The 24666-nt window shown below is 49.8% G+C and overlaps 1 protein-coding gene and 1 long non-coding RNA gene across 4 annotated transcripts in view, besides 1 other annotated feature; one reads left to right on the plus strand and one right to left on the minus strand.

The window, feature by feature from the left end:
* The window catches only part of APCDD1L (APC down-regulated 1 like), a 56299-nt gene extending 39260 nt beyond the window's left edge, over positions 1-17039 (minus strand). For 2 of the 3 annotated variants that reach the window (NR_130908.2, NM_153360.3), the window contains exon 1: positions 16299-17039. Coding sequence is in view for 2 of the 3 variants with exons in the window: in NM_153360.3 (NP_699191.1) it covers positions 16299-16347 (49 nt within the window). In the remaining variant the exon portion in view is untranslated. Of the gene's footprint in view, positions 1-15456; positions 15628-16298 lie in introns of all 3 variants that reach the window. The other variant, NM_001304787.2, reaches the window with a different exon arrangement.
* Positions 15642-16640: an enhancer, noted in NCBI's record as "H3K4me1 hESC enhancer chr20:57089058-57090056 (GRCh37/hg19 assembly coordinates)". NCBI's record gives its function as "activates a minimal SCP1, AML or CMV promoter by ChIP-STARR-seq in naive H9 embryonic stem cells {active_cell/tissue: H9 hESC(naive)}" and the evidence as "EXISTENCE:reporter gene assay evidence [ECO:0000049][PMID:30033119]".
* Positions 17019-24666, plus strand: part of APCDD1L-DT (APCDD1L divergent transcript) — a 104514-nt gene continuing 96866 nt past the window's right edge. Inside the window, exons 1-3 of the long non-coding RNA NR_034147.1 lie at positions 17019-17380; positions 21144-21239; positions 23030-23191. This is a non-coding gene — a long non-coding RNA (APCDD1L divergent transcript). The remainder of the gene's footprint in view (positions 17381-21143; positions 21240-23029; positions 23192-24666) is intronic.

The raw sequence follows: 24666 nt of genomic DNA on the forward strand, positions 1-24666 counted from the left end.
TGAACCCCTTCGGTAATTGAGAACCTATTAAAGGAGCTTAAATGCAGTTTCAGATATTGCATTTCCTGATTAACAAGGATATAATTTCTTGAAGAAAGAAAGAAAAAAAGGATTCTGTTAATATCATTGGTTTTCCTGAATCGGCCCTTGTACAGGAAGAAAGGCCAGGGGCTGCTGGCCTCGGGGGAAGCTGATAGGGACCACTTGGGCGGGAAGAGGGTGTTGAGGGCCCGGCAGGGCAGAGGGAGGAGGTCCGGGAGAGTCTGTCTGGCCTGGCCACCTGAGTTCTGTTTGGACTTTGAGACCAGCTGAAGCCACACCTCCCAGCCTGATAACCTTGGCCTCCACCTGCAGTCAGCCTCCCTGGTTGCGGGTGCTGAGCTAGAGCCATCTCTAGAAAATGCCTCCTCCTCCTCTGTCCAAAAGCTCCTCTGTCATTGGAGACACATCCCCATGTGCCCTCATGGCGGGCATCATCTGCAGCCCCTGGCACTGCTTTTGGCCCCCTGAGGCCATGGGCACCTGCCTCACATCTCTTCCTCCCTTCTTGGAGTCTCATCTCCATCCCACGTCTGTGGGTGGCTGGTTCCCCCCTTGGCTGCAGAACCCTTTAACTTCTCATTTCATTCCAATAATGAGGACACAATTTTGGCTGCTCTGATGCAGACCCACAGTAAAAGTCACCGCAGTGAGGTGGAACTTGACTTTTCTTCTGCGGGAGGGACAGTTGGGGCCAGTGCGATGGCTCTGCCCAGGTTCCTTCTGGTGTGTGGCTCTGCCTCATCCCTAGGTGTGACCTTCATCGGCATGGTCCAGCTGAGCTCACAGCAGGTCTGTATTTCTACCAGGGGAAGGAAAACAGGGGCTGTGTGTCCTCCTGGTGGCCACACTACTGGCCACACCTAGCTGCAAGGGAGGTGGGGAAACCTTCTACCACCTCTGGACGGCCACATGGCCAGCTAAGACAGGGCTTTGCCACAGTGAGAGAGGACGGGAATGGAACCCAAGGGAAGCCTGCAGCATCCCCACACCTCCCCTCAGTTGTCCACACCTATGGCGACACCTGTCTAGGAGGAATTTTCTCCTGCAATAACCCTCAGCCTCCAGTTTCCCAGTCTCTTCTCATGCCAGCCTTACCTCTGCAATTTGGTCTCAAAAATACCGATCACCCCATTCCCACTTCCTTGCCCTCAAGAGCTGTTGGATTGGGCACCAGAACTGCCCTTGGACAAGCTGTGGCTCCTTCCTCCCTCCATCCACCTCAGTGCCCTTCCCAAGCACGTTCATAGGAAGGGGCTCCTGGCCCCTACCTGCTCCTGCTCTGTGGGCAATGCCCCTTCACACCCTGCTTCCACCCCAGGACAATGGAACTGCACCCTCAGAGGGAGGGCACCCCTGTGCCAAACACCCCACCCATCCCTGTCTCTCCTCTCTCCAGCTTCCCTCCCTAGCCCCATCTCCCTCTCTGTCTCTCTTGAGTCTTCAACCTCTTTTTTTTCTCTCATAAGTATGCAAACCTGCTCCACTGTCTCTCACCGTCCCTGGCCTCCCTTTGTTCATTTACTCTTTCAACAGATATTTTGTATGTGTGCCTACTACAGACTGGGCACTTCCATCTCACACCAAGATTGTTTTTTTAAAAAAACACATGTAAATATTTTAGTTTTCAAATAGAGCTGGAGCCTAGAAAAACAAAAACAAATTCCAAAGTGCTCTACACTGAACGGCATAAGGTGAAGCTTCTTTCTCCTTCTACCCTAGTCCCTCCCTCCCAAAGCAAAAATTATTATCAGATTTTTCAGCATTTTTTCTGGGGGAAAATGCATATGTGAATTTAAAGCACTCTGTTTTGATTTTTTCACTTAATTTGTAGAGACAGTTTCCCATTGACACAAAGTCATCTTTCTACTACGTTCTCTTTCTGGCTGTAAGATGTTCCCATCTGTGGACGCATCACAACGGATTCAGTCAGCATCTAATGAGGGGCATGCTGAGTCTTCTGGCATTTGCTACCCTCCCACCCCAAGCATGAACGTCACCAGTGGGATCCCGGGGGTCATATCCGGCCCCGCTCTGGGCCAAGGGCATCCTGATGGCTCTGTTTGTGTTCACCTCTCCATCCCCAGCCCCAGTCCTGCACCTGGCCCATAGCAGGTCCTTGGAAATGCTTGAGAATGAAGCTTCACAAGCTACTTGCCATATTCTCTCATTTAATCCTTTTGGCAGTGTTTTAGTGTTTTGAGATAGGGAAGTGTCATGCCCTCTCTTTACAGGAGGGGACACCAAGGCTCCTTGTCTCTCCCTGTCCACCCAATGGCTTTCCTTTCGGCTCACACCCTCACCACAGCCACCCACGCTCTGAGGACATCCCATCCTTCCTCCAGGCCACACCTTTGACTACCCCCGGACATTCATCCTGGCTAAGGAAGCCACCGTCTACCAGGAAAACCCTTCGCTGCACTCCCCACTAGCCAGTTGCCCAGTCCAGGGAGTTTTGCCTTTTGTGGGCTCTCCAAGCTGTCCACTTCCCCCAGCCCTCCCACTCCTCCAGATGCACCCCAGCTTTGGGTGAAGCCATCAATCCTGGCCACTGCTACCCAGGCTCCCTGAGGGTTAGCACTCTGCCAGGTACCCCACAGTGTGACATGTGACATGCCCACTTTAAAGATGAACCCCTGGGAACCCCTCCTTGAGGCTAAGATCTGGAATACTACCAGTCTTATTGAAACCTTCTGTCCCATCCCCAGGGGTAACTTTAGTCCTGAAGTTTGGACAAGTCATTCCCTTGAATGATTATGATGGACCAGATAGTCTACAGTGTCTACCTTTAAATATATTTCTTTTCTTGTTTGTAAGAGCCTCTGTTGGTGGCTGAACTGTATTCTCCCCAAATTCTTATGTTAAAGCTGTAACCCCCTGTACCTCAGAGCATGACTGTATTTGGAGACAGGGCTTTTAAGGAGGTGATTAAGTCAAAATGAGGCCATTAGAGTGGGCCCTAATCCAGTCTGACTGGTGTCCCTGTAAGAAGAGGAAATTTGGACACACGGAGAGACACCACTGATGTGTACCCACAGAATAATGGCCGTAGAGGGCACAGCTAGAAGACGGCCACCTACAAGCCAGGGAGGGCAGGCTCTGCAGAAACCAACCCTGCAGACACCTTGATCTCTGACTTCCAGCCTCCAGAGCTGGGCAAGAAAGAATTTCCGATTTGTGTGAAGCCAGACAGTCTGTGTTCTTTGTTATGGCAGCCATAGAAAGCAAATACAGACCTCCCATCCAGTTCATCTCCAAGTCCTGACAGTTCCACCTCCACACGCACAGGGGAAGGGTCTCACCTCTCTCTAACCCTACAGATATAACCAAGCCACTGTCACCACTTTCCATGGATGCATTTCCACTCAGCAACCAGAGAGCCTTTTTGAGCCCGAAAACCTGCCTCTGGCTTTCCAAAGCCCTTAAGCTTGGCTGTGACCCTCTTCATGGCCTGCTCATCCTGTCCTCTTGTCCCTTTACTCTCTAGCAGCCATCCTGACTTTCCTTCAGTTGGTTCCTCTCATCCTGGATCTTCTAGCGCTGGCTCCTTTTCATCTCTTAGGACTGGGCTGCAATGTGGCCTACTTGGAGAAGCCTTCCAGATATGCCCCATCTAATAGCCCACCTCCCTGGTCACTCTCCCCACTCCCTTTCTCCTCTCCTCTCACAGTGCTTGTCACCATCTGCCATTGTCTTGTGTTTTTTTGTTTTGTTTTGTTTTGAGTCAGAGTCTCACTCTGTCACCCAGGATGGAGTACCCTGGTGCGATCTCGGCTCACTGGAACCTGTCTCCAGGGTTTGAGTGATTCTCCTGCCTCAGCCTCCCAAGTAGCTAGGATTACAGGTGCCCACCACCATGCCAGGCTAATTTTTGTATTTTTAGTAGAAAGGAGGTTTCACCATGTTGGCCAGGCTGGTCTTGAACTCCTGACCTCAAGTGATCCACCCGCCTCGGCCTCCCAAAGTGTTGGGATTACAGGCGTGAGACACCGCATCTGGCCTTTGGTGTATTTGTTTTCTAATCTGTATGTCCTACCTCTGCCCCATACCACCAACTAGATTGCAAGTCCCATAAGGTCCATGCCAGGCTCATTTTGTTCCCTGTTATAACCCTGGGGTGTAGAACAGTGCCAGGCACGTAGTCAGCACCCACTGAATGCTTGTTGAAGAACTGAATACTTGAATGAAGAGACATTCTCACCACTGAGTTGAAGTTATAGGACGTTATCTACAAACATAGTAAAGACATGCTTACTCATTTAAGCTCTCCTAAATTAGAATTTGAAGTAGAGAGAGAAAGAAGTTTGTCTTTGTATTTAAGCAGAACAAAAAAAAAAAAAAGAAAAGAACTTTCTAAGCAAATTATCTATGTAAACAGGGAATATGTTTCGCCCACTTAATAATGAAGTCCAGCAGCTCTGGTCGCAAACACTCTTAGAAGCTCTTTAGCAATAAATATGCAAATTACAAATTATTCCACGTTCTTGTTGAAGCTCTTACAGGGCTCTAGAGACTCAGGGGCCCAACCTCTCTTCCTTAGGTCCCCGTCAGCAACAATAATGAATGTCCTGGGTGGCAGTGGACGTGACTCTTTTTATGGGACCGGAATTCCGACTTTTCCGGAAGTCAGGCTTCCCCTAACCACCATCAGAGGCAGAAATGCACGTCTCTGAATTTCCCTAAGGCAGCATTTACAGTCCCTGAAAGGTTGGGGGTGGGGTTTCCTAGCAAAATGCAGCTAGCCACGCAATCATGTAGGTTATGATCTTCTCAGAGATTTTGATGGTTACCTTGAAGTGATTTCCTGCGAGAGGCAGACGGAAATGCAAAAGTATTGCAAGACTGTGGGAGAAACAACAAATCCAAATGCTGATCATCATAAAAGCCCAGGTACTTTCACTCACTGGCAAGTTGGTCTTAATTTCAGTCTGTGGTTTGCTGTTAAGGAAATTGGAGTCCATCAGAATTTGGTTAAAGCTGATGGGCCAAACAGTAGACTTCAGCTTCAAACTATCTAGAAACCACACCCAACCATGAAAAACACATGTTAAAGCAACTCTAAGTGTACATTTCAAAGAACAAGTAATTTTGTTTCACTATGGCCACTGGTAATTCCAGGCTAAATACAGCCATGTCGTGCTCTCCTGTATCTACATATACTTTTGGAAAAGAGTAGAGTTGGGTATGAGCTATTGCTTTTCCTCCCTCTTTCTATATGATTTAATATTGAGGCTTGGGGAAGGCAGCTCAGATTTTGTTTTTAACGCACACTGAGCTCTAGGGGTAGTGAAAAACAGGGGTGTACAGCACATATACTATTTAGCTAACTGTTCAGAGGGCATGGTCTCAAACTTTGTAGGCATATAGGTTAGCTGCTTTGGTTGTAAGCAACAGAAGCAACATCTGACTCATGTAAGCTAAAAAGGGACTTCTTGGATGGGCATGGATCCAAGGGATGCTCTGGGAGTGCAGTTGGTGGGAACCACTCTGCACTTTCTCCAGGACACTCCGTGGGCAGAATGTGCTTAGCTTCTGGTCACTGCCCTTAAAGTTCAAAGTCCTGGAGCAAGCATCCCATGAGCCCATCTGGAGACTCACACCTCAGGTGGAGATGAAGCACCTTGACTGACAAGTCCTCTAGGACTGGAGTCAATGAAATTCTGCTATAGCAAAAGAAGGAGGAATGGAGCCCAGGCAGGCAAAACTGGTACCTGTCCACTGCAGTTTTGTTTCTAGCAGAGAAGGACTTGAGATGGGGGAGAGGAGACAGCAGATTGCTCAGGGCAAAGGCTCCATGGCTAATGGTATCAACAAGTAGCCCAATGCATCTCCCTGGCTTTGGTAAAGGATCCAATCTTCCCTGGCTCTTCTCTGTGATGAGCAAGAGGTCTTCTTGCCTCTGAGACAACCATGTGAACAGACTGTTAGCACCTCAGGGCCCCCAGGGAGCAGTGAGTTCTGGGCTTATTGGGTCTGCCCTTTCACGCATTCTGGATGGTTCCTAAGCAGCCATGAGGCCATCAGGTGGCAGTCTTCCCAGGCTTCTGCTTCTTCAGAAGCATCCTAGCCCAGTAGCGTCTATTTCTTCAGGTGTCAAGTGGTGATAAATAGCAGTACCTAAACCACAAGACAGTTGTGTAGAAATAATATAATGCTCCTACAGTGTTTCATAATGGCAAGTGCCCAATGGACGTTAGGTATTGCTGACATTGATCCACCCACAGCTACAGTGTAGCCTCAGTCACCCTAGTGGGGTTCCAGTTCCCTGTTCTGAAGCCCCATCCACAAGACTGAGGGCACCTTTGGCAAGCACCTCTCCTCACAGCAGGGAGGGCACAGGGCCTTATCTAAACATCTAGATGTTTGGGGCCCCGATGTTCCCCAAATCCATTCCCAGGAACATCGATCTGCCTAAGAGCATCTGGACTACCCAGGACCCCCAGTTCTGTAGGTGATCCCACTTCTGACACCAGGACCAAGTCCTGCAGCCAGGTCAGGTTTCACTTCTCCAACCTCAACCTCTGTTACATTTCTAACCAGCCTCTCTTGCTGAAGTCCTAGCAAATTCAGGAGGTTACAAAACTGTGAAGCTGTAAACCCAGCTCTTTTCCTTGAACCCCCAGCCTCAGATGGAACTGATCCTATAGAAAATACAGAGAAAAACATAGAGACAAAGAAAGAATTTTCTCATAATTCCCCCTCCCAGAGATAACTGCTCATTTCATATGTTTTCTTTTTTTTATTTAAAAAAAGGATGCCTCCTCCATGAAAACATAATTAGAATCAAATATACTATATTGTGTTTCTTTTTAAGTTTTTTACAAATTATTATTATTTTTATTTTTTGTGGAGACAGGGTTTCCCTTTGTTGCCCAGGCTCATCTTGAACTTCTGAACTCAAGTGATTCTCCCACTTTGGCCTCCCAAAGTGCTGGGATTACAGGCATGGGCCACTGTGCCTGGCTCATTGTGTTTCTTGTTCTAACATTATGTCATAAATATCCTCCCATGTCAGTCCATTTTTTTTGGATATATAATTTTTTATGTATGCATAATTCCTTCAAGATGTATTTAAGTCATTGCCTGTTGTTGGGTATTTAAATTTTGGCCTCCTGACCTCCCTTCCCTCTCTGGAACCCTGGATATGGTTTGGCCCTGTGCTACTCACCTTTCAACTGTTGGATGATCATGTTACTTCTCAAATTCCATTTCCCAGAAACACCTGGTGCCATCCCACCCACCAGAGTGGGCCCTTTGGATACAACACTAGGCATTTTGGACAGAATTGCAACACTGCAAAATATATGCTGAAGTCCTAACTCTAGTACCTCAGATTGTGACCTTATTTGGAAATAAGGTCACTGCAGGTGTAACTAATTAAAATGAGGTCCTACTGGAGCAGGGTGAGCCCTAAATCCAATATGACTGGTGTACTTATTAGAAAAGGAGATGAGACACAGTGATAGAGACACACAGGGAGAAGAGGTCCACATGGCAATGGAGGTAGGAACTGAAGTGATGGGTTTAAAGCCAGGGAATGCCAAGGACTGCTGGCAAATACCAGAAGCTGGAAGAGGCAAAGAAGATTCCCTTCTACAGGCTTCAGAGGGAGCATGGCCCCACTGATACCTTGATTTTGGATGTCTGTTGTTCCAAGCCCCCCACTTCATAGTACTTTGTTATGACAGCCCCAGGAAACAAACACAAACTCCCCAAATCCCCACTTCCCAGAAACACCTAGTACCGTCCTAGCCACCAGAGTGGGCCCTTTGGATACATCCCCAGGCAAAAGCAACCTGAGTCCCCTTGCACCTCTGGAAGCAGGAATTTGGGCTTCTCACCTCTTTACCCTTCTGTATACCCCCATCTTCCTCTGACCCATCCAGACACCATTTCTGTCTCTTTCTCTCCAGCCAAGCTCCTGATATCCCAGAAGGAGAAGGTGGCCTTGTAGCCACCCAGAAGAAGCAATGTAGCAGGTCCAAAGGCTGGAATCTGTAGGGCAGTGTCCTGTCACCTTTGCAAATGGTATGAGTGACATCTACGGAGGACTTGCTCTGTGTCTGCTGTGCAGTGAACTTCCCACATGGACACTCTTATCTACTCAAGCAGCCCCATGGGTTAAACATCATTTTGCAAAGGAGGAAACTGAGGCATGGAGGGATTAAGTGGTGGGGCAGTCAATGGAGCAGCTGGAATGTGAGCCTGGGCAATTGAATTCCGGAGCCCAGCCCATTCTGCAGTCTTTGCAGATGAACAATTAGGATCCTTCTCTCTTCAACAACTCTCAGATTAACATTTAATTGGGGTTTTAAAAAGCTGTTCTTGTTAGCATGTCTGTGGTCTTCTACTGCAATCTTCCCCATTAAGCCATGTTATATAAACAGTCAGCTCAGATGCCTCAGAGTGTGTGTGTCTCCTGGTGCCCAGATTTTGCTTTAATTCATGGTGCTTTCAAAGGCATCAGGGCAGGGAGGTATTTGCATGAACTTGGAGCTGAACTTTCACTGGAGGGTGGCAGTTGAGGCAAGAAGCTTGGTGGTCCACAAATCTGGGTTGCTGGGCTTGCTGGCTGGATGACTTGAGTGCCTGGTATCTGATATGGTTTGGCTGTGTCCCCACTCAAATCTCATCTTGAATTGTAACTCCCACAATTCCCAGGTGTCATGGGAAGAGCCTGGTGGGAGGTAATTGAATCACGGGGGCAGGTCTTTCCTGTGCTGTTCTTGAGATAGTGAATAAGTCTCACGAGATCTGATAGTTTTTAATAAAAGGAGTTTCCCTGCACAAGTTCTCTCTCTTTGCCTGCTGCCATCCTTGTAAGATGTGACTTGCTCCTCCTTACTTTCCACCATGATTGTGATGACTTCCCAGCCATGTGAAACTGTAAGTCCATTAAACCTCTTTCTTTTGAAAATAGCCCAGTCTCGGGCATGCCTTTATCAGCAGGGTGAAAATGAGGTAATACAATGTCCATGGCATAGAGAGGTTGTGAGGATGAAATGAAGTAATGTGCTAGCACAGTGTTCTAGCTGTCTTTTTTCTCTGAGGTAAGTTGGTCTTTCTCCCTCTCCCTGACTCTTTCCCTTCCTCTCCTTCTCCCTCTGCCACATACGCACACCCACCCACACCCCCACACACACACCCCGACACACACACAGTGGTAATTTATGGTAGGAATATCTGACCATCTGTTCTCCCCTCTGGGGAATATATACACTTGCTAATAGCCCATGCACCCTTGCACAGGTTTCAATGGAGTGAACATGAAAGAGAAGAGAAACAGCAACTTCTGTTTCAGGAAGCTTGGGTGAAAAAACAGCAAGCTGAAAAAAAATTGCAACACATACAAGAGACAGCTAGTTTTCTGAATATAAAGAGCACTTACAAATCAATAAGAAAAATGGTTTGAATCTCCCATATGATGACAGCACAAACATGTGACCAGGCAGTTCATTGGAAAAGCAATATGAGAGGTCTATAACACACAAACATTTGCTTCTCCTTGCTCATAATTATAGGAATCCAAATCAAAACCACCAAGCATTGCCACTGGCATGATTTTTAAGAAGTAATAATACAAGGGTTAGTGAAGATGTAAGAAATGAGTGCTCTCCTAGGTCACCCATGGGGGTGGTGCTGGTACAACTCATTTGGAAAAAAAGCTGGTGGGAGAATTTAGCAAACACACTTTGCCACGGCAATTCCACTGCTAGGTATTTCCACTAAAATTTGCAGGTGAAGGGGAGGCTGGCAGCAGGGAACAGAGTTCTAGGCAGAAGAAACAGCCTATGCATGCATATGGAGGTTGTGGTGGGAAGGAATGCAGCTGATGGACAGGCTGGTGGGCTCTGAGTGACTGCTTCATGGTGGTGCTTCCAGCCCAGCAGCCACTATCCTCCCTAAGAAGAAAGAGAGGTTATCTGTGAAGTGTGTGGAGATGACTGTCACATGGGGATCAAGGAGCACAGGGAGGGGAGAGCACAGAGAGAGTGAACATGGCTGAGACTGTGTCCATAAATCAAGAGAGACTCCAGCTGATGTGCTTTACATCTTGACAGCATACAAGGCTTTTAAATCTCAAAATGCCCCCTGAAGTGGTTGACATCCTCGATTAGATGTTGGCATTGGTGGTGGGGGGAAGAGATGAGGACAATGGAGCAGAGGACTGGCGGAGGGGAGGTGGCTGGGGAGGCCCTGGAGGAGCTGAGGAGGGCCTCTGCGGCAGGGCCCTTCAGTGCAGCTGTGACTGGGGTTCCCGTCTGCCACTGCTTACACTATGTTGGGTATATGAGCGATTACTGAGTACCTACTATGTGCCAGGCACTGTTCTAGGGACCCGGGAAAGAACTGTCGATAAAACAGGCCAGGCCTTCTTCTTGTGCAGCCTACTTTGTAGTGAGGAACAGACTGTAAACAGGGAAACAGGTAATGATAGGCCACGGTGTATGGAGAGTGAGGGGTGCCGTGCAGAAAGGCAGAGCGGGGTACTGGGAAAGACTGTGTGCACATGCGTGAGTGTGCATGAGTGTGCGTGAGTGTGTGTGAGTGTGCATGTGTGTCTGTGTGCGCACGTGTGTGTGCATGTGCATGCGTGTGTGTGTGTGTGTGTGTGTGTGGAGTCAACGAGTCAATTTTAGCCTTCCTTTAGCCTTCTGGGAAGGCCTCTCAGAGAAGGTAACATCTGAGTAGATACCTGAGTGGAAGAAGGAGCCAGAAGAATGTTCCAGGCAGAGGGAAGAGGGCGTGAAGGCCCTGAGGGAGTCGTGCTGCCTATGTGGAGGCCAAGCCAGGAGCTGCCCAGGTAGTTGGTGCTGAGTGAGGAAGCAGGCAGGACCAGGGCGGGCCGGGTGCTGTGAGCCACGTCAGGGCCTTTGGATTGGGCTTTACTCAGGGGTACTAAAATCCTTCTCGTTTCCCTGATGATGAAACTGAAGACGACACTATGATATCAATGGGCACAGACGGTACCTTTAGCTTTGCCTGTCCAAGTTTCCAGTTTGCAAATGAGTCTTAGCTATACCCCTGCCTAGCTCTCCTTGGGCAAGTCACCTACTTCTCTGGGCCTCAGTTTCTTCATCTGTCAAACGGGAGTGAAAACCTCCACCTTCCAAGAGTGTTGTAAGACGGGACTAACAACTCACCTCAAATGCTGCTGTAAGTCAGGAGCTGAGCCTGGGCCCTGGTGGACACAGAGAAGGCTCAGTAAGTATAGCCCATCACTGTCACTGTCATTATTACCAGGCTCTGAATGGGGGCAGGGAGAAGTGAGGGACCAAAACAGCCATTGATAGCACATGTGCTGGCTTACGGTTAGAGACTTTCAGGGCTGGAAGCAAATCTGGGCCAACTCCTAGCCAGTGCTACTCGCATCATCCAGCTAGATTCTTGGATGCCTCCAGTGATCGGGAATTCACTACTTCTAGAGGCATCTCATTCTTACCCTGCTTTACATCCTTCAGTGAACACTCCATTGCTCTTAATATAAAGTCCAACTCTTTTCTGAGGCCCCACAACCCTCCAGGAACCAGCCCCTGCCAACCCCTGACCTTGTCCACTCTCCACCCCTTGGTCCCTCACTCTCTTTTCTTTTGCATCTAAGCTTTGCACATACTAGTCCTTCTGCCGGGAATTCTGTCTGTTCTGCCTCCTCCTCATTCAGTTTTTCAAGTTCCAGGTTACATATCACCTTTCTAGGGAGGCCTTCTTGAACCTCCCAGCCTGGGCTAGATACCCCTAAAACTGCTTGGTAAAGTGCTCATCAGTCTTGTAATTAGTTGCTCATTTAAGATTTAGTTGCCCTATTTTCCATGAAGGTGGGGAGCTATCTGATTGGTCCTTCTGTCTTCCGCACCTCACACCAGTGTGTGGCACATACACAGGAGGGCACACAATACACGTCCACTGAATTGGGACTCTGTCACTGCCTCTCTGCTAGACAATTCTTCCTCTTTTTTTTGTCTCGCCCTGTTGCCCAGGCTGGAGTGCATTGGTGCAATCTTGGCCCACTGCAACCTCCGCCTCCCGGGTTCAAGCAATTCTCCTGCCTCAGCCTCCCAAGTAGCTGGGATTCCAGGTGCCTGACACCACACCCAGCTAATTTTTTATTTTTAGTGGAGACAGGGTTTCACCATGTTGGTCAGGCTGGTCTTGAACTCCTGACCTTAGGTGATCTGCCCACTTCGGCCTCCCAAAGTGCTGGGATTAAAGGCGTGAGCCACCATGCCCGGCCCAATTCTTCCTTTTAGCAAGCTCACCCTACTCCAGCAGTGAGCTCTGTCATCATCCCCATTCTGCAGATAAGGAAATTGATGATGGTAGCACTGGCAGCAGGGCTGGGGCAGAATGACAGGAGACAGCAGCAAGAAGGGTGGAGCCTGGACCTGCATGGTGTCAGGGTTAAACCCAAAGAATTATGAATTTTGTTGCTGTTGGTATCATTTTAATAGTCAAGGTGCTCTCATGGGGAAGAAAATACAGCACCTGCCAAAAGGAGACAGATGCTAAGTGACGTGTCCAAGCTCAAGCTGAAATGGCAACTTCCTGAGAGCAGGGGCGCTGACACTTTCTTCCCCAGGTCTGGAGACTTTAGAGCAGCATCTGACTCCCTGCAGGGACAGCACAGAGGGTTCACCAGGTTCTCAGTGCTAAGTCCTGGCCATATACCATCTTGTTGAACACTTCCAGCACTCTCTGATGTCACAGCTATCACCATTCCCAACACACTGATTGGGCCACATGCCCAGGGAGGCTGTGTGGGTCCAGGTGACAGAACAGGAAGGTAACAAAGCCAGGGTGGGAACCAGGTCTGCCTAATTCCAAAACCACCTTCCGTGCCAACTTCAGAATTCACTTCCTTCTCAAGAGCCCCCCAACTCAACTTAGCTGCCCTCAAGCTCAAACCAATTTTAATGGCTTCTCCTTCCCTTTGCATTGGGCTATTGATCTTCATTTTCCAGGCTGGTTTTGGCAGTGAACCACTGTATTTTGGAAGTTTTATCAGGGGCTCATTCTGGCTTTAAGCTTTCATTAGCATAGTTAACTTCCAATATATTGCAAAAATATTTCTTCACGTGTAGCTTCTAACTGCTTTGCCATCCAGATGGTTTTGAAATCAAGGAAGCTGCTGTATTTGCCTGGAGCTGGTTGTTTTGAATTTTGAGATTACAGCCTTGGTCAGAAGATAAGTGGCACAGCTGGCCACAGTGATTCATCTTCGAGAAGCACTTCACACAGTAGCAAGAGGAAGTCTCCATTGATAATTTTTTTTGTTTGTTTTAAGTAACTAATACGATTACGGGTCTCTATTCACATTAGATTTTTGGATGAGTGTATTTAAGTAATTTTCTTCTTAGTTTTTATTCTGGGTTTCAAGGCAGAGCTCCACATCAACTAATTTATTATGGAATAGCTTGTGATTTTGACCTAGTTAATCTGACTGTAAATGATAACTTGCCATCGCAAAGTATATAGCGAGAGATAAAAGCAGAGCTGAAATTAGAAAAAAAAAATACAAGTTCGAAAAAAAAGCAGCAGCTATGGTTTCTCATTTTCCCCCTCCAGCATAAATTGTTGAGTAATGAGATTTTTAAAAGCCAGAAATTGCTGTGGAGTGAACCAACACTGGCAGCTGGAGAACTGGCACCAGACACATCTGGCCTGACAGGGTTTGAAGGAAGGTTCGCTGCAGTGGGTGACTACCCATACCGCAGCCTGGCTCCTGCGGCCGCCATGCGGACATGTTCAGATACAAGAGGGAGGGAGAGCAAATGGGAAAAATCAACGTCCAAATTAGAAACTACCTAAGCTATGTTGTTTTTCTTGGGGCCCCACTGTGCCTTTGATTTCCTGATCGTTCAGAGCAAGAATAACAAAATCCGTCTAACCCAGTGATTTTGACGGATTCGTCTGAAAAACTACCTGTTGGGTTTGATCTGTTCATACCAGTGATTCTCAACTGGGGGCCACTTTATCACCTGGAGACATGTGGTCATATCTGGAGACATTTTCAGTTATCATAACTAGGAGGAGGTGCAACTGGCATCTGTAGGAAGAGGGCAGGGATACTGCTAAGCACCCCAAAATGCACAGGACGGGCCCCTCATCCCCAACAAAGAATCCTCTGGTGCCAAATGTCAATAGCGGCGAGGTTAAGAACCCCTAACGTGTGTGTACTCAATCTGAATTCTCTTGGTGGGGTGGCTGGTGTGCCATTATATATATAGTTTCTGGAACCTGGAGACATGAAGTTCAGGCGTGCCCAGCTCAGGCACCTAAATTATGTCAGTAGCTGAAGGATTAACTGGGTCCTGTTTCCTTTTACTAAAGCAAAAGGATCTCATCACCTGGTGATGTAGCCAGCGGTGAAAAGAGCTTTTCAAAGAAGCGTTCAGTGGAAAATAGTGCCCGGTGTAGAGCTGGGAGCTGCAGTGGCAGGCTGAACGGCACCCTCCCCCTTTCTGGTGGCTGTGTCTGAATTGAGGGCAGGCTGCCCCCCTCTCTCGTCAGGCCCCCGGGCACTCTTGGCTTCTCTGCTGTTGAATCTGTCTGATTTGCTGTGGTGAAAGGTCACCGAGGAGCTGGGCAGCAAGACTCCCCAAGAGCCAGCCACGGCTCTACACTCACAGTGATTTCATTGGCATGACGGGAAGCTCCGGCCTGCCAAAGACAACAGCCATGTGCTGTGACTGAGACTGCAGGTTCCTGGGGCATGTGTCCCACCACTCTAGACTGTTCCATTCCCACTGGGTGCAACGGCCTGGAGGAGGCGGATGAGAGCAGATGGACACCCGGTTTCCCCATCCTGTCCTCCCTATCTCAGCACCCAGCAGAGGCGCGCTTCCACAGCTGGCCCCCTTGTCACCCTTTCCAGTTTGCATTTTCCTGCCCTTTCGAAAGAACCAGCAGGGGTGAGGTGGTCTATTTTCATGCTGATGATCAACTAACTCTGTGGCCAAGGACAGCTGTGTCACCTCTCGCTCCCAGACTGGCAGGGGAAGCGGCCCCTGGATGAATGTCCCTTTCGACAGGTGAATCTGCAACTCTTCAAACTGCGGAGGCACCCTCCCCTGACCCTCCTTCAGACCCCTGCCAGTTCTTCTCAAAACAGCTTGTTTAGAAATTTGGGGGCTGGGAAGAAAAGACTGTGATTGAAGAGCTCCTCGAGGTGACTTAGACTTTGCTCCTTGCCTATACATGGAGCAGAGCGTGCTCTGTGGGACCGCGCAGCCCCTCTTCACCCCGGGGTTCTCGGCTGCCATTCCCTGAACATGAGCTCAGTGCCAGGCAGCAAGTGGAGTGATCCTCCTGCACGTGCTCTCGTAATCTTCACAATCATCCCAGACGGAGGAGGGGATTTTGTGAGCCCATTTGACAGGAAAGAAAGTCAAGGCTGAGAGAGCCGATGGCCATGCTTACCCAAAGCCAGACGGGTTGATATGATGTTGATCTGGGCTTCCCAGCCAGGTGGTCTAACTCCAGGGCCAGAATTCTCAGCCATTCATAATGTGAGGGTGCTTGGGGATGAGCCCCCAGCTGGGCACACTTCAACTGTGGTTACTGTCATTTTTGTCAGTGGTGACTGGGCCCCTGTGATGGCACACTCCAGTCAGCTGGCCTTTGTACAGTTTTGTCTACCCTACTCCCCACCCCCACGAAGAGCCACCAGGGAACCCCTTAGTCCTGGAGAAGGCATTGACTACTCTACCAGGGGTTCCTGAAGCCCCTTGGTCCCCTTTGTCAGGCCTGCTGGGCACAACTCGAGCCTGGGGTCACTGCGCGCTCCCTAGCTTCTCCCCGAGTCCTGCTGCAGGAAGAAGCCCCGACCCCGCACAGGTCAGGATTCCGTGGGCAAAAACAACCCCAGTAACCTTGGTCTGAATAGCCGGGCTTGTCCCGCACCATGGGGGTCTCAGTGGGCCTGGGATCCTCCTGCATCTTCTTGGAGGCCCCGGTCCCACTGGGCCCGGCACAAAGGGCAGCTCTGGGTACCTACAGGCCAGGCCCCGACTGGCGCAGAGAGTGCAGCGGCTCTCATATTGCGAGGTGACGCGACTCCCTCCCGCAGGCCCCAGGAAGCTCCTGGAGGCGCGCAGGTGCCGGCCAGGTGAGACTGGAGAAAGGCGCGCAGGGCGCAGCATAGCAGCCGCGTGGGCCGACCCAGGGCCGTAGTCCCCAAGGGCCCTTAGGGGACATTAGACGGCGAGCTCCCTCCCTTCCGAGCTCAGCCAGTTTGCCGGGTGGGGGAGGGTGGCACCTACCTCCCAAAAGCACCAGGACGCAAGCGTAGGGGAGCATGGCTGCGGGCATCCCGTCGGGGCTGGCAGGACCGCCCGCCGGGCGCTGCCACGGTGCGCAAGGGGAGGCGCGGGCGCAGGGCTCTCGGACGGCTGCGGGCGCCGGCGGCCAGGCTGGAGTCCTGCGAAGAAGTTGCGAGGGTCCTGCGCCCCCCTCGGCGCTCACACGCGCTCAGCCTTCCCGGCTGTTGATAGTTGTAAGCGGAGCTGCGCACTCATAGGTCCAACTTGCCAGAAGAGGTGGAGACAGCCCCCGGCGAGGCGCGCACACCCGCGCAGCGCGCACAGCCCCCTGGTGCAGCTCCTGCCATTCAGACCCCCAGCCCTCCCCCAGATGTCCGTCCCCTGGCCGTCGCCTTCCCCAAAGTCTTCGCAGTGGGCAAGGAGGCCTCCCCCAAGCTCTGGTCCCGGCCAAGGCAGAGCGATGCGCTCCTTGCGTCAAAGCGCACCCCTAGCCAGGCCGTTCCCTGGAAGGGCAAGCGGGGCGGGGAGTTCCTCTAAGCCCCGCCAGTCCTGGGACCCCTGAAGTTTCTATTCAGGTCTTCCAGCTACTCCTGGAAAAGTCGCGTCAACTTGGATCCCAGCAAACCCAGAAGCGCAGTGAAAGTGGCCAACCCGGTCGCCTAGAAGCCAGCCCCGGCCTCTGTCTGTAAATGAGGCCGTCACCCGCTCCCCACCACACCCAAACGCATCTAGGCAAAGTGTGGACCCGACCAGGCGGGTTTTCCTCCTTCTCGCAACTCCTCCTCCTGCCCCCCTCCCTCCCAAATCTCATCTGAGTGAGTCAGCTGAGGGTGGCAGCTCAGAAGCGAGGCAGCCGTGAGGCGGAGGACAGGCTGGGGGATCCCAAAGGGTGCGCTCCAGCCCCCAACCCAGGCACTGGGACTCTGGTGGCACCCTGGGTGGCAGGCAAGCCTTGAAATCAAGTGCACGAGCCTTGGAAAGGAGGACCGGGAGAGTTATGGCATTTATGAATGAAGAAGAGAAAGAGAATCACTCGGATGGGAAAAGTTAACTGGATTGTTCCCACCTGCATGGATCACCGGGTAACTGCAGTGGGACCGAGGGGGCGAGGCTGCGGGCTGGGGATGTGCGGGTTTCCTTGTGTTGCCACGAACCCAGAGAGGGAGAGGAAGAAGATGGAAAGAAAAAGGAAAAAGGGAAAGAAAGTAAGAGGGGAGAGAGGGGAAAACTGAGGATGAAGAGAGACAGAGAAGAGAGACCTGAGAGAGGGAGAGAAAGAAAGAGACAGAAAGAGAAATGAAAGTGAGGAAAGGGGAAACAGGCAGAGAAAGAGAGAGAAAGGGGAGGAAAGAGAAAGGGAAAAGAAAGGAGGGAGTGAAATCAACAGAAAAAAGAGAACCAGGAAGGAGGAGGGAGGGGGAGAGAGAAGAGAGAAGAGAGAGAAGAGAGAACAAGAGAGAAGAGAGAAGAAGAGAGAAGACAGAGATGCGGTCTCCCTGGGGAAAGGTTTGGAGAACTGGGCCAGGCCTGTTTCCCGGGACTCACGAGTGAGCAGTCCACCTGCCCCTCTGAAGCATTTTATAGACTCATTTGTCCCACTTTTGTGGGCTGATCATCCCACAGGGGAACAGGGGACACCACCTCACCTTTTGATTTCTTACCAGAAACTTGGGCGAGGCTTCCAGGAGCCACAAGAGCCCTTCAATCCACCCAGGGACCCCCGATGTGGGCCCACCAGCCATCCTTAGCTTTCCTCCTCTCCAGAGGCAACAGGGAATAGGAAAAAGTCCAGAGCAAGGCCACACCATGATCTTAACGCAAATGGAAATGTGAGGAAAACGATCAATTTGCTTCCTGAAAATGACATTTTTTTTTTCTGGTTTCTATGAGACTCGAGGTGGCCTTGCTGAAACTGAAATCGGTATGAGCTTTCCCTGGCAGACAATGGCCATTGTCACATATTAAATTCTCATGAAAGGGATAACTTTGTGGGCAAGAGGAGAGTTGTGCAGGGTGATTATTTATACTTGCATAATTGTGATTATTTGTGGCAATTATGGGTCTTTCAATGTACAAAATTTACAATTATGGGTAGTTTAAAAACTACATGCTAAGGCCGGGTGCCGTGGCACACACCTGTAATCCCAGCTCTTTGGGAGAGCCAGACGGGTGGGTCACCTGAGGTCAGGAGTTTAAGAGCAGCCTGGCCAACATGGTGAAACCCCGGCTCTACTAAAAATACAAAAATTAGCTGGGCGTGGTGGCGGGCGTCAGTAATCCTAGCTACTCCAGAGGCTGAGGCAGGAGAATCACTTGAACCTGGGAGGCGGAGGTTGCAGTGAGCTGAGATCATGCCATTGCACTCCAGCCTGTGTGACAAGAGTGAAACTCCATCTCAAAAAAAAAAAAAAAAAAGTTAAAACTACATGCTATTCTGGCCATAATCATTTGAGACTTCAGTCTCTGGGCTTTCCGGATGTGGGTATTTCAAAGTCCCAGGCGGCTGATGGGGGTTCACGCATTAGTGGCATTTTGTGGGGAGAATGGGTGTTACATTGATGTCCTACATAGGGTCATAATTCAGTATTTTCAGAACTTATTGTACTGCTGTTAGAGATACGAACTTTTCCACAAAGTATGATGCTTGTGTATTAATAGTTGTACTGGCTTATTTATAAATGAGAGGATTTGCTGATAATTATTGAGACTGTGGCATGGGCCAGGCACTAGTTAGGTTGAGTACTTTATATGCATGTACTTTATACCTGAACAAATTGACAAGAAGTGGGAATTACGGTCAGGCCATTTTACAAACTGGGGCAACTGAGTTCAGAGAGTTTGGGCCACTGTCCTGAGGCCAGGCAGCTGGAAGGTGGCAGAACTCCCGGATCCCTGCTTCCAACCACCGCGCTGTGTCTCCAGGACACGTCCTGTCTCACTGGGTTTTCTGCTCCTTTCCAAATCTGAGGACCCCAAAAGAAAAGGCCTGTTTTATAATAACGGCTTCTTTTCGAAGAGGTGTGTGAATAATGGGGGAAACACGACTCCAAAGTACTTTTTCTCTCCAGCCTGGGCAACATGGCAAAACACCATCTCTAGAAAAAATACAAAAATCCTCCAGGTGTAGTGGCACATGCCTGTGGTCCCGGCTACTCGGGAGGCTGACGTGGGAGGATCTCTTGAGCCTGGGTGGTCGAGGCTGCAGTGAGCTATGATTGTGCCACTGCACTCCAGCCTGGGTGACAGAGCAAGACCTTGTCTCAAAAAAAAAAAGTGCTTTTTCTACATCCTAGCTAAACCCCAGCTGTTGAGGCTGAGAGTTACAGGTGGGCCCTGCGCCTGCTGCATCCTCACCCTTGTGATGGGGCGACACTTGGGAGGGTGTGGGCAGCTGTAAAGGGCACTGGAGACTGACGGGTCCAGCGTTCCTCACTTTCCAGGTGAGGAAACAGAAGCGCAATGCAGGTGAGCTGACCCTGTTGAGATAACACAGATTTTACCCCACAAATAGAAAAAAGCAAAGAAAATGGACAAATAGTGTTTGAACAAGGCTGTCCTCAACTCACAAGCAGATCAAACAAGAGCAAAAGAAGGAACCGAAGCTAAAACTCATTTATTGTCTTCAAACATATATTTATTTTTAATCAAAAAAAGAAAAAAGTTATGTTATCCAGATCTTGCATTTTGCTCAGGGAAGGGTGATATACGCTTGGTTCCTGACCTCTTTCTTACCGAGTAATCGCTTGAGAGCTTTTGAAACGGCAGCAATCATAAGGCTGTTTTGGGGAGAAGCCTCAGCTCTGTGTTGGCCGTTAAGTCACGTCTGTGGGCATTATCGCATCTTGGCCTCCGTAGCTGGGCTTTCCTGGGCTGTTAACTGCAGGGGCCCTCGCTGGGTGGTCAGAGCTGCTGCGGGTGAGGTTTTGGGAGGATTCAGGGGGTCTTGCTGGGTGTGAGGGAAGCGGCCTTGAGTCAGATGTCTGTGAGTGGGACCCAGCCTTCTTGCTCCACGTTTATCTCCCACACCACCCCTTCCCCCAGAATCAAAGTCCAGGGGGAATCAGGAGGAAAGTATTGCAGAGCAGGGCCTCTTTTCCTTCCCCCTCCCCTCCAAATGCCTACCTCTTCATCCTTGTCCCTGTTAAAAACACCATGGGATCATAAGATCACCCCACAAAATCTTGCTATAAAATGGTCTGTTTCCTCTGCTTGTTATCAGGGGTAACTGATCAAAGAAATGGTGCCCAGGCCTGGTTATCTAATAACCAAATAAACATCCAGGCAGCCTCCTGGGCCAAGAAGGGTAGGCAGGGGTAGCTCTGGATGAAGCAGGGGACAGGCCAGGGTGGGCTGGGCCCCTCTTGGTGACCATTTCTGCCTCCAGAGTGAGCATGCTGGCTCGGCCCAGAGTCGACCAGATCCTTATAACAACCTGCATGTTACAGATGAAGAAATTGAGGCAGAGAAAGCAAGTCTCTGTCCTTCAGAAATGCCTGGTGCACCCCTGAGCCTAGCACATGCCTTGTGCATAGTGGGGGCTCGCTGCACGTTTGCTGAGTGAATTAATGAGAGAGCAAATGAACTATCACAGAATGAGCACTGGGTTTATCAGAAGACCTGACTTCAAATCATAATGCTACCACTTAGCCACTCACCATGGCCGGTGCTAGGGGGAGGCGAACTTGTTCCCAGGGCTCACCATGTAATAGGCACTCACTCTTGGGTGGGCATAGGTGCAGATAGCCCCTCCAGGTGAATGCCTTCTCATAGTTTGAGCCCTGGGTGCCTCCCACTAGTCCCGGCCCTGCAATTCCCTTTGCATCTGTTTCTTCCTCTGTAAAATAGGATGAAGCTGTGCCACCCTGTAGGAATTAGAAGACCATGTCCAGGAATTGAGCACTGGGTGCAGGATCCAGTCTTCTGAGGCCCTGAAACCACATGGTGAGAAGTTGAAGGTCACACAGCTGGTATGCAATGGAGCCTGGATGGAAACCTGGTCCGGGCTGGAAAGACTGGCTCCTCAGCTTGAACCTAAAATACCTAGGTCTTGAATGGCATCTTGTTCACCTGCCTCTGGGAAGGCAGGTTGTGGAAATACCTTGGGCTGTCTGGGAACTCACCCTCCAGCCCTTAAACCTGTATAGGTATTCTTGCTCTATCTGGCTATTGTGTGTATGGTGGGGGCTGGGGGATGATGGCATTGGAGGGCTTATCCTAGCACCTGGCACATAAATGTTAAGTGAATATATTTTGAATGAATGTATGAATTCGGTAGATGAATGGATGAGTGGGTGGGTGAGTGGGTGGGTGGATAAATGGATGGGTTGGTGGGTAGGTGGATAGATGTGTGACTGGGTGAGTGGATGGGTGGATGGGCTAATGGGTGGATGGGTGGGTGGGTAGATGGATGGATGAATGGGTGAATAGATGGATAGGTGGATGGAGAGCAAGATGGATGGATGGATGGATGAATAGATGAATGGGTGGATGGGTGGGTAGGTGGGTGGATGAGTGGATGGGTGGTAAGTGGGTGAATGGGTTAATGGGTGGATGAGTGGGGGGATGGATGGATAGATGGATGAATGGGTGAATGGGTGGGTGGATGGATAGATGGATGGATGAGTGAGTGGGTGAATGGAAGGGTAGTGTATGGGTGGGTGGGTGGATGGGTGGGTGGGTGGATGACTAACACTCCAGTTGCCATAATTGTTGCTCTGGGGTGGTGCTCACACTGAATGGTTTGTTAATTTATTAGTAACAATTCATTAGTGTGTTAACTCAAGCGGTGGAGACACATCTTAATCCCTGCACTTAAGAGGTGCTTTCCCACAAAGGCGGGGCCTTGTGTTCTTCCTGTGAACAGCCATAGCACCAGCGTGAGAGGCAGGTGCTGTCGAGCGAAGAGCAAATGCCTGCTCTTATGTGGCCAGCCTTCTTTGCCTGGGAGGTTTGGGGATTTGTTTTTGTTAAATTTCTGGGTCCCCAGCCCAGCTCAAACCCCTCATTGATGCCTGAGCCACTCATAGCAGGCTATGGAATGGCAGCTGAGCAGCTGGGTCTGGCACCAATAGCTTCATCAACATGACACCCAGACATCCCTCTGGTCGTGGAGCTGACCGTTTGATGCTATATAGACCCACCAGGGCTTGCAGATGGTCTGTAGAAAGAATGGGCTGGCTTGGTTCATTTTACTTGGGAGGCAAGAAAATTCAGCCTGAGCAAGGGCTTCTGTTGATGCAGGATGGAGGAGAGGCTGCCCCGCTCATGGCAGAAGGAAGGCTTTGGGCGTCTAATGGGGCTCATGTCTTGGTGACGCCCTTCATGAGGTACATGACTTTGGGCCTTTGGGCACAGCCTTCTGAGCTTTGTGTTGCTCACCTGCAAAGGGAGAATCCTCAGGTTTTGGGGAGAATGCAATGAGATGACACAAGTAAAGCCCTCAGTGTGGGGCCTGGTGGGCTGTGGAGCCTGGTGGGCTGCAGGTCCTTGGTAAGAGGGCAGATGTCACCATTATTTCTGAGGGGACTGGGTAGGTTTGTGGATGAGTGGCTCACATCACCCAAGACCCCATGTTGGGCTCAGCACTGCAGGGTGTTGGAGCTGGGAGGCCTCTGCAGACCAGGTCCACTCATTTTCAAATGGCCTCTTGGGAGCCACCTAGAGAGGAGAGGACAGGGAAGGGAGGCAGAGAGGCCAGTCTCTGAGCCTCCTCCTCCCCCGTGTCATCTCAGGGTCACCATAGTGCGCTTCATGGGGTGGGAAGTGGTGGCCTCTAAGTGTCTATCAACTGTGAAGACTGCAAAGAGGGATCCATGGCTGTTGGAGCAATGAGATACGCGATGACGTAGACAGATCCGGAAAGCGCATCGTCTCCTGAGCAGAAGGGCACTCATGTAAGCCCAGACCACAAACCTGCACGCAAGTGTTGCATGCATTTAACTTGTGTGTGTCTAAGGCAATCCATCAGACATACTCCAGGGGATGTCTTTCAGGAGGAAGAAGGAAGGAAATGGGTGTGGAGATGGAAGAGGGGCAAAGGGAAAAATTTATACAATAAAATAAGACAGATGAGGGTCCCAACATAGACCAAGGTTGTTAGCATGCCATGGACTCAGTAATGTTACATGCAACTTTCTGTGTCTGCGGTCCGAAAAGTATGATAAGCAAAAGAGACTATAGAGAGACTGAGGCACAGCAAGGGGCAGGGGGATGGCCAAAATGGTGGTTGGGTGTCACCCAGACACTCAGGTCCCTCTGGCCGTGGCACTGACAGTCCGGAGTGATGTAGATCCACCAGGGCTTGCAGAAGAGCATGGTTCGGTGCCCATTCTCTGATGTCTGCTTGTGTGTGCAGAAGAGCTGCTTGGAGCAGGGTCTCACCTTTCCATACCCATCGGCTCCCCCCGCCGCCATCCACCAGCTGGGTCGCAAGAAAAGGCAAAAGCTATTGTGACAGCTTCCTTGTTTTGAGAGGCTTTTGTCGAAGGAGGGAAAAAGAAAAGTCAGGAAACATGTGTGGCTTCAAATTATGTCAGTTATAAAGTTTATTGTTAGCCCCCATTATAAAAATCAATATATGCTCCTCATATAGGATTTTAAAAGCACTAAGTTTATTATTTCTCTCTCATTGTAAAATTAACAGTGGTCCTAATATGCTATTTAGAAAATACAAAGTGGAAAGAAGAAAAATGAAAGTCACGCATCGTCCTTCAACCCGGGGACAACTCCTGCTAACACTCGGATGGATGAATTTCACATATACATATAAATATTCTCATCTACAGTCAAATTTAATAATGTGAATGCCTTAATAAACCACTAATTCTTCAATTTCATCTTTTGGGTTAATTTCCTAGTCTTTAAGGAACTGTTAGATGCAACGCTACGGGTAGTAGGGGAAGGACACGAAAAAAGAAATCTTATTTTTTGGCCAAAATATCCTGCATATTGGATTTGCCTTTGTTTTGTTTTGTTTTGCTTTGAGCCTTCTGCCTTGTTAGGCAGCTGTTTGTATACTTTCCTCTGCTTTGGATTTCAGTCTGGAAGCAGCACATTGATTTTAAACAGAAATACCTTAAAAGAGGTGGTGTTTGGGGGTTTACAATCCCCCCACCATCAGCTTGCAAGTGGTTCTGTTCCGGCTGGCACGTTACACCAGTAAGAGGCTTGGTGTATCACCCAGGGAGCAGGTTAGCTAAATTCAAGGTGAACAGACGGCATTCTCTGTTTCTCTTCTGGCTGTCTGCCTAGTTTGGGGTCTTGGGGAATTGGAGAAGCAAAATTTGGGGGCTGGGATCTTGGACAAGTGCTCACACCACAACCCAAGCCTAAGACCTTATTTTTCCCTTCCTTCCCTCTTCTTTTTTTT

Source organism: Homo sapiens, chromosome 20 (genome assembly GCF_000001405.40).
Source record: "Homo sapiens chromosome 20, GRCh38.p14 Primary Assembly".
Taxonomy (NCBI): Eukaryota; Metazoa; Chordata; class Mammalia; order Primates; family Hominidae; genus Homo; species Homo sapiens.